Source organism: Homo sapiens, chromosome 15 (genome assembly GCF_000001405.40).
Source record: "Homo sapiens chromosome 15, GRCh38.p14 Primary Assembly".
Lineage (NCBI taxonomy): Eukaryota > Metazoa > Chordata > Mammalia > Primates > Hominidae > Homo > Homo sapiens.
In genome coordinates, this window is record NC_000015.10 from 32094663 (window position 1) to 32108399 (window position 13737).

General features: G+C 45.1%; 1 protein-coding gene across 7 annotated transcripts in view; it reads left to right on the top strand.

The window, feature by feature from the left end:
• CHRNA7 (cholinergic receptor nicotinic alpha 7 subunit) overlaps positions 1-13737 on the top strand; it is a 142536-nt gene that overhangs the window by 64180 nt on the left and 64619 nt on the right. For 6 of the 7 annotated variants that reach the window (NR_046324.1, NM_001190455.3, NM_000746.6 and 3 more), the window contains one exon: positions 6641-6685. Coding sequence is in view for 4 of the 7 variants with exons in the window: in NM_001190455.3 (NP_001177384.1) it covers positions 6641-6685 (45 nt within the window). In the remaining 3 variants the exon portion in view is untranslated. Of the gene's footprint in view, positions 1-3180; positions 3805-6640; positions 6686-13737 lie in introns of those variants that run through there. The other variant, XM_011521176.4, reaches the window with a different exon arrangement.

Here is a 13737-nt window from a genome sequence, read left to right on the forward strand (position 1 = left end):
TTTCTTTTTTTTTTTTGAGACAGAGTCTTACTCTGTCGCCCAGGCTGGAGTGCAGTGGCACGATCTCAGCTCACTGCAAGCTCCGCCTCCCAGGTTCGTGCCATTCTCCTGCCTCAGCCTCCCAAGTAGCTGGGACTGCAGGTGCCTGCCACCGCGCCTGGCTAATTTTTTGTATTTTTATTAGAGACGGGGTTTCACCATGGTCTTGATCTCCTGGCCTCGTGATCTGCCTGCCTCGGCCTCCCAAAGTGCTGGAATTACAGGCGTGAGCCACCGCACCCAGCTCTTAGGCACTTTTCTTCCTGCTACCTATTCAGTCCTTGCAGCATGCTGCAGAGAGAGCAATTGATAGCCATTACCCTTGTTTTTACAAATAAGGGAACTGAGTCTCAGAAAAGTTCAGGGGATGGGACTACCCCTAGCCCACATGGCTAGTGAATAGCAGAGCCCAGAGCCTGTGATATCTATAGTTTTCACATTGTGTCCCCAACAAACAGACCCTGAGCAATCCCAAAATGTGAGCAGAGGTAGAGCCGAGCTCTGTATCCCGAGAGGGCCAGGCCCTGTGGTACGAGGACCAGGATGGTCCTAGAAATGCCAAGCTCCCCATCAGCAGCTCTCAGACATCCAGGCTTCAGGACTCCGTTGCTCTCCTTAACGTTATTGAAGATCCTCTAAGTTTTGTTTATGTGATTATATCTATCAATATTTAACACATTGGAGATAAAACTAAGAAGCATTTTAAAGTTCAGTAATTCACTTAATATAATAAGGCCATTCCATAAATAGCAAGATGTTAACATAAATAGCATTTTATGGAAAATAACCATATCTTCACCCAAGAAATCAGTGGGAAGGGTGGCGTTGCTTTTTATTGTTGCAAATCTCCTTAATGCCTCATGTAATAGAAGACATCTGGACTCTCTGACCAGCTTCTGCATTCAGTCTGCTGCTGGTCCCTATGTCCTGTAGCCTCCGCAAACCTCTATGGAAGACTCAAGGGAAAAGGGGGATGAAAGAGGGAAATAACGTCTAACCATTATGAAAAAAAGATTTGACTCACTGGTCCTCTGAAAGCATTTCAGAAACCCAGGGGTTCCAAGCCCATACTTTGAAAACTTCTGTCTTGTACAATTACCAAAGGGAATTATTTTCCGTGATCGTAATCACAGTGTTTGCTGTTACAACAAGGAGGACAGAATCACATCATGGTTCAAAACACAAGTGTTGAAAACTAAACTTTATGAAACTGAAATCCAACCCCCTAACCTCTTAAACAGGTTTCTGTACTTAGCTGTGTGACCTAGGGCCAGGAGCTTGTTTGTTTCATAATTGATATATTTATGCATTCCTCTTCTCCTTTGATTATAAAGGTAATACCTGCTCATAGCAAAGCATTCAAACAGAAAAGAGACATATAAAATTAAATTTGGGGGGTCTCCCATAATCTCCATTATTAAATGAGAAAAATAATAGTATTTATTTTGCTGGATTATTGTCGTGAAGCCAAAATGCGTTGTTTGCGTGTGCATGTGACATTTAGAAATGCAAACTCTGTTTAAGGGTTAGCTTTGTTATTTTCAGGTATCGTCAATACCTGATACCTGATATTTATTGATATCCTCTTGGTAAAGTACTTGTTCATCTTTTGCCCATTTTTCTATTGGATTGCCTGCCCTTTTCTGATTGATTTTTTGGAGTTTATTTCTTATTCTGGATATGAGTCTTTTGTCAGACCTACTATCTTGCTGACTCAGGGAAAACCTCAGTTTGTTATGCTGTAAAACTAAGAAAAAAATATGGTTGGTGTAAAGATTAAATTAGATAAAAGAAGTCACCGTTTATAAACTTTAGACTGCTACACAAATATGAATTTATATTATCCAGCTATTTTCTCTGCAAACAAGAATTTAGAAATGGTGGTGGTTAGGTCTATTGTTATGTTTTTGCTTTTTTTTTTTTCTCAGCATCTACACAAAGGAAAAAGAAATAATGTGATGGGAGCTCTGTAAAATCACATGGAATGATGTTACCCAGTAATTCACGAAAGAATAATTGCTGCAGAAATGCAAGATAGCACATTACGCATTACCACGACAGTTGTACTCTAAACCAGATAGACGATTATTCAGAGAGATTGATTTTAAAAAGCACGATCACTTAAATCAAAGCATGCTCTCAACTGAAGAGCTCAGATGGAAAAAGAATGAAGGGAGTTAGGCGCGTTGACTCGAGGGTGCCTTGCCACACCGGCCTTCTGGGATTCTGTGGCGGGCTGGGGACCCTGCCTCCTCCTGTCTTCATCCCAGAGGGAGAGGGGAGTGTAGATCTTGCAGGAGAGCCGTGTGTGTGAGTAGCCACGTGGTGACAGCCATTGGCACTGAGTGACATCGCACAGATTGCAGCATGCTCCTCCTCTTCCCACCTGCTGTAGCAGACAGGGCAGCTGTTTGCATCCCTGTTTCGGAGGAGAGAACATTGAAATGCACAGAAGCCAATTGCCTGCTGAGTCGGGAGCCCCCAGGGTCTTTTGCCTGTGTGGACTCTGCTCCTCCATGCCCTCCTGCCCAGTTGGGGAGGGCAGGAATAGCCAGGGGGGCAGCTTGAGGATCTGGAATTGCTGAAACCCACTTTCACAGTGCAATGGTCTGAATGTTTTTTTCCCCCACTAAATGCATATGTTGAGATCTGAATCCCCAAGGCGATGGTATTAGGAGGTGATTAGTCCATGACGGTGCAGTCATGATGGATGGTCCCCATATATACAAGGCCCCAGAGACCTCCCGCGCCCCTTCCACCATGCGAGGACACAGTGAAAGGTGGCTGCCTATGATCCGGGAAGCCAGCCCCCACCAGACACCAGGGTTCAACCATAGTGGCAGGTTAATCATGGACTTCCAGCCGCCAGAACTGTGAGAAACAAACTTCTATTTTTTATAAGCTACCCAGTGTATGATATTTTGTTATAAGCGTCCAAATGGAATTAAACATAGAGTCTGTGCTACTTAATTGCAGGCCCCTAGGTTCCTGTGGAATACTGTTCTTCGGGAGACTAAATGTGCATATTTATTCACAGGCCTCTGGGCCAGGGTTGGATGTTTCTGTCCCCTCTCTTGCAGGAACCCCCTTGTTTGACTCGGGTGGCCTCCAACTTGGGAGGGAGTGACTGCTGTAGGCAGCTCTGCCTGCTGATTCATGGTTTCAGGCTCAAGTGCTGCATGGCAGGCTGGGGGCTCTGGCAGCAGTGAAGGATATTTGGGTGAAAGAGAAGGAAACTTCCCTCCTGGGGTGAGGAACTGGATTTTGTCCCTAGGTAAATTCTGGGCAGTGGGAGTGGAGCCCCTGCATACCTGCCCTGAATGTCCTTCTGCCGGGGGCCAGAGGGCCATGTGGGAACTATAATTCCATCTGGGGACTTTCCACACTCAGAGGTGTGGCCACCATCCCCAGGTCTCCCAGTTCACCTGCAGCCTGTGTGGCCAAGTACAAATCCCGAGGCAAGGAAGTTGAGTGCAGAGCTGAAGTCCTCCCCCAGGTCCTCTGTGCAGAAGCCTGTCAGGAAGCAGGGGGCTGAGCTCAGCTTTAGTGCAGCAGGGTCGGGACGTGCTTGCCAAGGATCGAGGAAGGAAAAGGCTGTGGGGAAAGGGGAGGGGACAGATGGACTCTGAACCTGCTTTTGGAGCAGCCTCTGGGGAGGGAGGGCTTTTCTTGCCAGCCGGTCAAGGTCTTATAGGAGAAGACACGGCACCTGCAGACCTATTGCTGCCAGAGTCCCACAGAACCTCTTTGAGAAGGGGGAAAGGGGTCAGTCAAGAGCCATTTTGCAAATGAGGAGACTGAGTCCTGCAGCAACTGCCTCTCATCTGTGGTCACAGGCGTGGGGGCCTGGAGACAGTAATGCCTGGATAGAGCCTTGGAAAGCAGAGCTGGTGGTGGGAACCGAGGGATAAAGGCTCAGGACTGGGTGCACATGGTGGATGTGAGGGGATCCACATACTGTGGTATTGCAGGATCACAGGTGGTTAAAGCAGAGGCTCAGCCCCAGGACGCCACCCCTTGTCACTCTGGGTGAAGTCCATGTCCTTGTCTTCCTCCTTGTAGGGACCCTGTTTTCCCTCCCTCCGTGATCCTTGTTACCATTTGTTGTTATATGTTGTTATAAGTGTATCATTATTGTGTTGTAGAATCCTACCTCATCCCCCCCCACCAACACACACACACACACACACACACACACACACACACACTTTTTATTCTAGGAGCTCAGGAGCAATATTAATTTCCACTGCACACATCAGGCAAGCATAATGCTGGGGACAGGAGGTGTTCCATAAATGTTGCATGAACGAATGAATGAAAACTCGGCTGGACCATGGCTTGTAGCAATGGCTTGTGCACTTCACTCAAGATTCTTGACTTGATCCTTTGGGCAGTGCAGTTGGAGGAGGGTGATCTGATCATATGGATGGTCAGAAAGTCCGGTGTGAAGATGAGTAGAGGACAGCCTCTGTGTGTGTGCACCTGCGTGTGCATAGGGGCAGCAGGCTGCACAGTGGGAATGGGAAGGAGGTGAGGGACCTTGTCACTGCAAACAGAGAGCCAAGAGACTCAGACCGTGTGTGGCCCGGACAGGTGCCAAGAGGAGGGAGATTGTTCTGGGAGCATGGTTCCTCATGCCCTCCTCTCTCCCTCTTGAGTCTTTGTGGGGGGTTCCCCTAACGGGTATCCCTGCATGCTCAGGTGGTGGTGGCTGCTGCTTGTTGATTACAGTTTGAAAAGCTGCACTTGGTCCCAAGTTGCCACACACCACTGAAATTCAGTGTTCTCTAATGGGGTTTCTGTTAGAATGTTGGAAAGAAGAAAGCCTTTTAATTAGATTCGTAGTAATTGAGCTCCCAAACCACAGAAGCCTTTCTCTCAGCAGATGAAGACACAAATGCAATTAAAAGAAGGAAAGGCACCTAAATGGAACCCTTGCTAATTTTAAGTCCATTAAAAACAACAACTCCTTAATAAGTTGAGGCAACAGATACACGTTCTGAAGAGTTTTAACAGTGCTTCCCAATAATATTGGAGCTTGAACTGGAACTGGAGTGCTCCAGCCACTTAAATGGATAGCTCTGTTGGGGATCATTTGCTCAGTGCAGAGTACAGAGACATGTTAGCTCTACAGCTTTTCCCACCAAAAACTCCTGGCACATTTTATTAGGAAAATGGGATATATTTTTTCCTGTAACTGAATAAATGTTCAGCATCTTGTGGACATTGCCTCTGGCCTGGGGTCCCCTGAGACATCATCCCATGTCCCTCCCCAGGCAGCCCTCTCCTCTCTGTGGGATTTGCCCCACCTGGCCCATCTCACCCCAGAGGTGCCCAACATGTGAGCAACTGGGCTGGGGCACTGATGTCCCTGTCAACTGCTTACATGCTGAACGCATTTTCATTTTAATGAGAGGCAGCATTCGTTTTTCATTTGCATCCCTGCTCACTGACATGCCCCAGCAGATGCCACGTTCTTTCTGCCTTTGGGTCTTTTTTTTTTTGAAACTTCCCATCGGTGAACCAGGCCAAGTAGATTCTATTGCGGGAGCTTGAGGTTTCAGCTTCTGGGAACATCTTCACAGGGGCATTAATTAATATTTTCCCTGGAGAGGGTGTCAATTGCTAATTCACAGAGTCCTTTACGTTGGAGTTGATTATTTCATGCTGAATCACAACATTCTCAGTATGACTATTGTACAGAATTCACTCATTTGCCTCCTTTCACTGGGCTTGGTCAGCCGTACTAAAACGCAAGTTGCCTCCCATTTGGAAAGGCCAGTCTTGACGGGTCTCTTCTCTGTACGTCCTGTGCTGGAGCAAAGTCACAGCTGGTACACTAGCCAAGCTCCCTGATTAGTGCATAGGCTTAGCTGGAGGCAGAACTCAGGGAGGTGTTTTGGAAATGTAGGAAAATAAGCTCTGGAGTCAGAAAGATCCAAGTTTGAATGGCTGCTTCTAAAGTCACCTCATCTTTCTCACCTTTAGTTTATCACCTGGGTAGGCTTTACCTTCAGGTGTATTTCAAGAGCCCGATGTGCCTCCTAGAAGTTAGAGGTTGAGAGAAAAGCCCAGATCTGCAGGGACAAGGCAGAGTCATGGCCCTCATGGCACCACTCACACAGGGTGCAGCAGCTCCACACAGGGCCATGGCCCCTTTCCTGGGGGAGGGAGGCATAACATACTTGTATTTGTTTAAAAGCATATATATTTTGGAAACAAACCTGACTTTAAAAACTTGTATTTTCACCTACTTTTATGTTTTTTTTTAAGCATATGAATTATTTAAAAATACAAAGATAAATAGCTAAATCATTAGCAGGCATCATTTCTGGATGGTAAGGTTGCAGAGTTTTAATTTTCTTCTTTATACTTTTCCATCTTTTTTAAGTGCTGTATAATAAATGTGTCTTACTTTGGAATAAATAGAAAAGCTTAACTCTAGGGAAATGCTGCTTGCATATATTGGAAGTGCTTGGTGCATTCTAATTTCCACACACAACAACGCTCTCGACAGTCAGATCCCCATGTGAATAATTGTCTCATTCTTTCTTTTGTAAACCATATTATTTATGCTGCTGCTTTTTTTTTTTTTTTGAAGGATGAGAAGAACCAAGTTTTAACCACCAACATTTGGCTGCAAATGGTAAGTTAAGAGAATGACAATCTCTCCCATGGGCTGCAAGATCTTGCACCCAAGATTCTTGTTCTGATACCTGAGATGCTTGCTTCTGAGAGGTCCTGTTTAGGAAAAAAAACCAAAAAAACAAAAGGCCATGGCTGTCACACCAACTCCACACCTGCCAACAATGAATGCTGGCTGTATGACACTACAGTCTGCAGTGCTCAACACATGCACAAGATCAACACATAGGACAAGGTAATGTGGGGACACTTCAGAAGCACTTCAGGCAAGACAAGAAGATACAGGGCTGTGTGTAGATGTCCACAACCTGCACCACAGCCAGTCCCCAGGACTCAGAAGCTCCATCCCTGCCCTCTGTGGCCTCCGGAGCTGCATGTTTGAATCAGGTGGAGTGTTCCGAAACCAGAGGCCCTCGTACTTTGTGCTCTAGCAATGCTTATAAGAATCTTGAAATGCTACCTATCATTTGTAGATTTTTAACTTGACATCTGCAATACTAATCTAAATTTGATTAATTGCAAATGATGCCACTTAACATCCAATTGTAAATATTAACACTGAAAAATGAAACAGTCAGTCTCTATTTTAAATGGAATTCAAAATACCATAATAATTTGGTGCCCATCTCATTCAAACACCATATGAACAAGCCTTTTTTTAAACTGTCAGATATTTAACGTAGTCCCTTTTTTCTCTTTGCACATGCATTTCTATTCTAGTTTCTATACGGAATTTTATCCTAATGTAATATAATTTTATGTTTGAAAGTCTCTTTTTTGTTTGTTTGTTTGTTTGTTCGTTTGTTTGTTTGAGACAGAGCCTTGTTCTGTCATCCAGGCTGGAGTGCAGTGCAGTGGCGCAATCTTGGCTTACTGCAACCTCCGCCTTCCAGGTTCAAGTGATTCTCCTGCCTCAGACTCCCGAACAGCTGGAATTACAGGCAGGCACCACCACACCCGGCTAGTTTTTGTATTTTTTAGTAGAGACAGGGTTTCTTCATGTTGGCCAGGCTGGTCTTGAACTCCTGACTTCAGGTGATCCACCCACCTCGGCCTCCCAAAGTGCTGGGATTACAGGCATGAGCCACCGTGCAGGGCCGAAAGTCTTTTATTAATCGTGCCTTGGTTTTTTCAAATGTAAATATTTACACAAGAATTATTCCTTTACACCGTAAGTATTAAATTTTGTTTCTTTTGGATTGATTTAAGTTTGCTATTGTTATTGGTATTATAATTCATCAAGGTGACATAAATTAAAATTTTTAAGTAATTATAAAACATAAATTTTTATTGGCAATTTATATCTCTGCCCAAGATGAGTTTGTTTTAAATTAGTTCATGTATCCACAGATGACTTTTTATTACTTGAATGGAGAGAATGATAGTTTTCACTTCAATTCTGTTGCTGTTTTTTAACTAGGTGTAGTAACATGAGTAGTTGGACATGAAAGCCACTTTGTTAAAGCAATGTTACTCAATCTTTGAACTTCTTCTAGGTTATATGCCAAAAATAATGTAGTTTTTATCAAATGTATCAGCTGACAGCTTGATTAGTTTCTCCTTCAATTTTGTTGAAAACAAAGAAAAGAATTTAAACCCACCTGACCTTTGAAAGTATTTGCCACCCAATTTGTAAGGTAATTCACACAGACACAAACGCTGATACTTGAATTGACCATTTGTTTGGTTCTTGAGTCAGTGTCCCAAGATGGGAGTTGAGGTAAGATAAGAGAAATGTGCCCTTCTTTATAAAGTTGAATGGGAGAAGTGAAAATGGAGGCAAAGGATAGTCCCATGTGGTTCTTGGGCAGTTGAGTTATCCTGCGAATACACGTGGAGTTGAGGGATAGAAAATGGATCTGCATCCAGCCTGGCCAACATGGTGCAACCCTGTCTCTACTAAAAATACAAAACTTAGCTGGGTGTGGTGGTGCACACCTGTAATCCCAGCTACTCAGGAGGCTGAGCCAGGAGAATCACTTGAACCTGGGAGGCAGAGGTTGCAGTGAGCTGAGATTGCACCACTGCACTACAGCCTGGGGAACAGAGCAAGACTCAATCTCAAGAAAAAAAAAAAAAAGAAAGAAAAAGAAAATGGATGTGCTTAAAGCCATTGCTAGGTCTCCAAGGTGCACCCATAGCTACATGTGAGACTCCTGCAGAACCTAACATTAGTCAGGTGAGAGCCCTTGAGATATTCCCTTGCAGGATTTAAAGCAGCATACTTCAGTGAGCATATCCCTTGCCACCTACTCTAGCTTCCCTCCTTTTGCCCAGGACACATGATCTGTGCTCTCCTGGAAGGCCCAGGCCTTCTTCCCATGGACAGACTCATCTCCTGGCCCCTGCTGAGAGCCTGGCATTAATGATTGTCCTCGCTGCCAGTAGCATCAAAATAGTGTCCGTGGGTCATTCTCACTCTTGTCTCTCCCACAGACTTTTCATTTGGATAAATGTTAAAGCCATGGATCCATTGGCTCAAACCAAAAACCTTGAAGTCACCCTTAACTCTTGTCTCGCACACCTCACCTCTGATACATCAACAAATCCTGGCAGCTTGACCTGCAAAACCGATCCAGGATCTAACTACTGGGCATCAACCATGATGCTTTCACCCTGGTCTACATGGGTGTCATCTCTCACCTCCATTATTAGGAGTCCCCATCCAGCCTTCCTGCTTCAGTGTTGCCTCTTCTGGTGGTGTCTTGTCCTCAACATAGCAGCCAGCATATACCTTCTTGGCACAGATCCCTCCAGGGGCTCCTGTCTCCCTGGACAGCATAGGAACTGAAGTCCTCGAAGTGGCCTTGGATTCAATTCCCTCCTTGCCTGGCTCCTTTTTCCTCTCCCCTCCCCTCTGTTCTTTGTTTCCTGGCTGCACTCACTGTCCACTTGTTGGGTGACACACACGTCACCCGAGCCCGTGCCCCCCCCTCAGGGCCTTTGCACTGGCTGCTCTCCCTGCCAGGAAGACTCGTCCCTAAGAACCACTTGATTTCCCCCTTACTTCTCACTGATCTCTTCCTAAAGGTCAACTCTTCATTGAGTCTTCTTTGAGCTCCGATGTACTGTCCCAAACCCTCCCCTCCACCTCCAGCCCACTCTGTTCTCTTTATCCTGTTTCATTTTTCTCCCAAAGGCTTCTCACCATGTAACCCGCTTTGTGTTCACTCGTCTATCTGTTCATTGGTTCTGAGTCTTCATCACCCTTAGAATGTGTGCACAGTGTGGGGGACAGGGCTCCAGGTGCATTCGGTCACTGCCGTACCCACAGCCCCTAGTTCACTGTCTCACCTGTAGCGGGCACCAAAGAACTTTTGCCGAATGAGAGAATGAAGCAAAAACTCAAGGTGAACCTTGAGGTGCTTGGGTAGCGTGACACAACATAAAGCCATCTCCTGAATGGCCGTGCAGCACTTTCGTACTGTGTGTATAAGGCCAGGCTCCGGAGAATGAGGCAAGTGCTTCCCTTTTTAATTAAAGTTGGACGTTTGCCATGCCCTCTAAGGAACAACGCTGCTGTTGACATTTTTCTTACAGAGAGAAATGCATGTTATGGAGAGGTCTCTCTCCCTGGTGCCTATCTTCCTTAGCCCTCAGTAAGTGACTGGTCTTCAGCAATGTATATGATTTGGCAATTTTATTTAAAGGATGGTGGTTTCCAAGAAAAATGTAACTGGATTATTACTTCCAGTATGGAATTCAGATGCTCCACAAATAAACATCCTTGCTTCAGAGGGTGTCACCAGAGACCTCTAAATTTATTTCAAGCACAGCTAATTTTAATTAAGGCTTACATTTGCAGAAGCATCTGCAGCTTCATTTGTTTGAAAACTCACCTTTTAACTCACCTCCTCTTGGAGCAACCTACTCTGTGGAAGGTATTAAACTGGGCCAGGTGAGGGGACCCAGAAATACATAACCCAGTTTCTACCTTTAAGCCATTTATGATCAGGCTGTGTAATTAACACGTTTAGAAGAAGGAGGCGGAGGAGAAGAAGAAGGAAAAGAGGAGGAGAAGGAGGAGGAGGAAAAAAGGAGGAAAAATGGAGGAGGAGTTGGAGGAGGTGGAGGAGGAGAAGGAAAAGAGGCGGAGGAGAAGGAGGAAGAGGAGGAGGAAGAGGAGGAGAGGAGGAAAGGAGGAGGAGAGGAGGAAAGGAGGAGGAGGAGGAGGAAAAGAGGAGGAGGAGGAAATTAAAATAGCAAGAACAAGTATCTCCCCAGGGATATTACAGATGACAGCTGGTGGTCAGATAGTAGAGGCCAGACGTGGGAGAAATCTCTGCTTTAAAGAAATGGGAGAGAAGGAGAGGCACAAATTCTCCTAAACGTGAAGATCTGGGAGCACTGGCATTTCTGAGTATTTTGTCATTAATGTTTACTTTTAGGTGCCTACCGATTGAGAAACATGCTGGATTCCCTTAGAAGGTGTGCCCTCATAAAGCTGGGTGATAACATTTATCTGGAAAGCGGCACCTGTAGATGATCTAGCAGTTGTAACACTGTCTCCCAACTGAATTTTTAAGGGCTCACAAGAATCCTGGGTTTAAAACAAACCTTAACAGTCATCTAGCCAGTGCCTGTGTCTCTCTGCTCCCCGCCCCCACCCAGTGTTTCAGTCTGGAAGCCCTGGCATTTCTATTCATGTCCACAGCATGGACATGAGGAACTCAGGAGTCACCAGAGCAAGCTTGGATGCTGCCCAGAGGCCACTTCTAAGCAACCTTCCATTGATTGCTGTTCTTGTGTTCCCTGGCTGGGGACCAGCCTGGCTTGACCCAGCACGATAATGGACATGCACAAGTGAAGCTGGGTACTGAAGGCTCTCAGGGCCAGGGTTCTGAGGGGGGTGCAAATGTGGGCCGGGGGCAGAGAGCCATAAAAACGGCTCTAGCAATGGGTTTTTCTCCTCCCGAGTTTCATGTTGCTGAATTCCTGTCCAGAAAATCTGAATCCACATAATCTTTTCTCTAGGGTATTTAAACTCTGCAAATGATACATTTTCTGTTTATTAAAAATGGAAAAGGCAGAAAGGTAAAAAAAAGAAAAAAACTCTCCTTGACCTCCAGTTTGTTGGTTTTGTTATTCTTTCTCCCAGTTGCCCTTGATTTTGATCATTCAGAAACGTGAGGGAGGAGAAAGAGGCTTCATCTCTCTGTTCACCTCTTCATGTTCCGAGGAGGAAGCAGCTGGTTCCTCTGCAGCCGGTTCCTCTGCAGCCAGTTTTCTCTGCAGATTAGTTTTTATCATTTTGAGAGGGTTGTCAGACATAATCTGATTTAATCTATGAGAAAAAAATGACAGAAGCCATTTCAGTTTCTGAAGAGACATTTGAACCATCCAGAGACTTACATTTGCTTTTAAAACACCTGTCTTCTGTCATTTTGCAATTGTGACCATTCTCCTGGCATTTGATGTCCCAGCCTTCCTGGGTCCTTCTCTAACTTTAACCTCCTAATTCTAATTATGGTACTAATAGCATTCACACCATAGATGATAAGATTTTAAGCTGTTATTTTTTCTAAAATATTTACCTTTTTAATTTCTGCATTCATCATCACTTGATCTCTGACACATGGAAATGCCACGCTTCCTGTTTACAGACAAGCCGGCTAGTGGCTTGCTTAGGGCTGTGATGGCATCTCAAGGTGAAGAGCGATGTGTCAATCATTATGTCTCACCAAGAGAAGAAAGCGTCAGGGTCAGTGGGGTGGAAAGGCTGCTTTCCTCCACTAACAAAATAATGGACGGGAATAATTTTGAAAAGATAAGTGTTTTCTGACATCAAACGTGTGATGACTTTTCTAGCACCAACAACCAATTTTCCACCAGCAACTGGGGGTCCACCAATTCAATTCATTTCTCACATTATCTACCTGGAGTTGCATCAGATCCCACAGGTTAAAGGGCTCAGTCTCACTTCAGATACCAGCTGCAAATGGTGTACCCAGGCTACCCACATGTCTAGCAGGTGACTGAAAATTCGAGGGTTCCCATACCCTTCTCCCCCAGGTTCAATAACTTTCTAAGATGACTGACAGAGCTCAGGAAAATACTTTGCTTACTTAATAAAATTTTAAATAATATACAAACTTATTTAATATATTTATAAATAAAATATATTTATTAAATAAATATTTAATATCTACTTATATAAAATACCCTGGAGAAAAGATTACATGGATTCAGAGTTTCAGAACAGGAATTCAGCAACATGAAACTCGGGAAGAGAAAAACCCATGACTTAGGTTTATTGGCTTATTCTAAAGGATGCAGCTCAGGAACCAAGTGGAAGGACGCAGCGGACAGGGCGTCGTGGCCGCAAGGGTGCGCGGAGCTGTTGTCGTAACTTCTCGCCAGTGGCCACCTTCCCTGCAAGTGGATGTGCTGACCAAGAGTGTTTATAACCCCGTCTCGAGCCCCTTTCTCACCCCTCCCCAGAGCTGTGAGTGCAATGGGCAGAAAGCTCTTTACTCCAGTCACTAGGTGACCAGCCCCCATGAAAGCTATCTAGGTGCCCAACCCTAAGTCACCTCATCAGCGTAAACTCAGGCCTCAGGCATGGTCAGAAGGGGCTCTGTATGAATCACAAAAGACACTCCTCTCACTCAGGAAATTCCCAGGGCTTTGGAAGCTCTGTGCCAGGAAAACCAAATCTATTTTCTTATTATACCATAATGTATTTTTTTAATGAAAGATAACTTTCCTTTTTCCTCCCTCCCTTCCCCTCTCTCATCCCTTTCCCCTCCTCCGCCCTCCCTCAATGCTTCCATGCCACTAGCATCCACACACATTTAGAGTTTCCTGTGGGCTCGAAGCAGCACAAATAGGGCCCAGGTGCCAGAGCCATGGAAGAATTGGGATTCCCCCAGTGCCTTTTAGATCAATGGCCCCTTCCTCCCTTCCCTTCAGTGTCCCCTCACAACTCCACACACTCTTCTTTTGAAGATTTAATGAGAAGGAATCTCACAAAAGGAGGGAGAGAAGGAAGAGCACACACTCCTCTAAATGTGATTGTCTGGGAGTCTAGGTTCATTGACGCTTCTTTTCAGA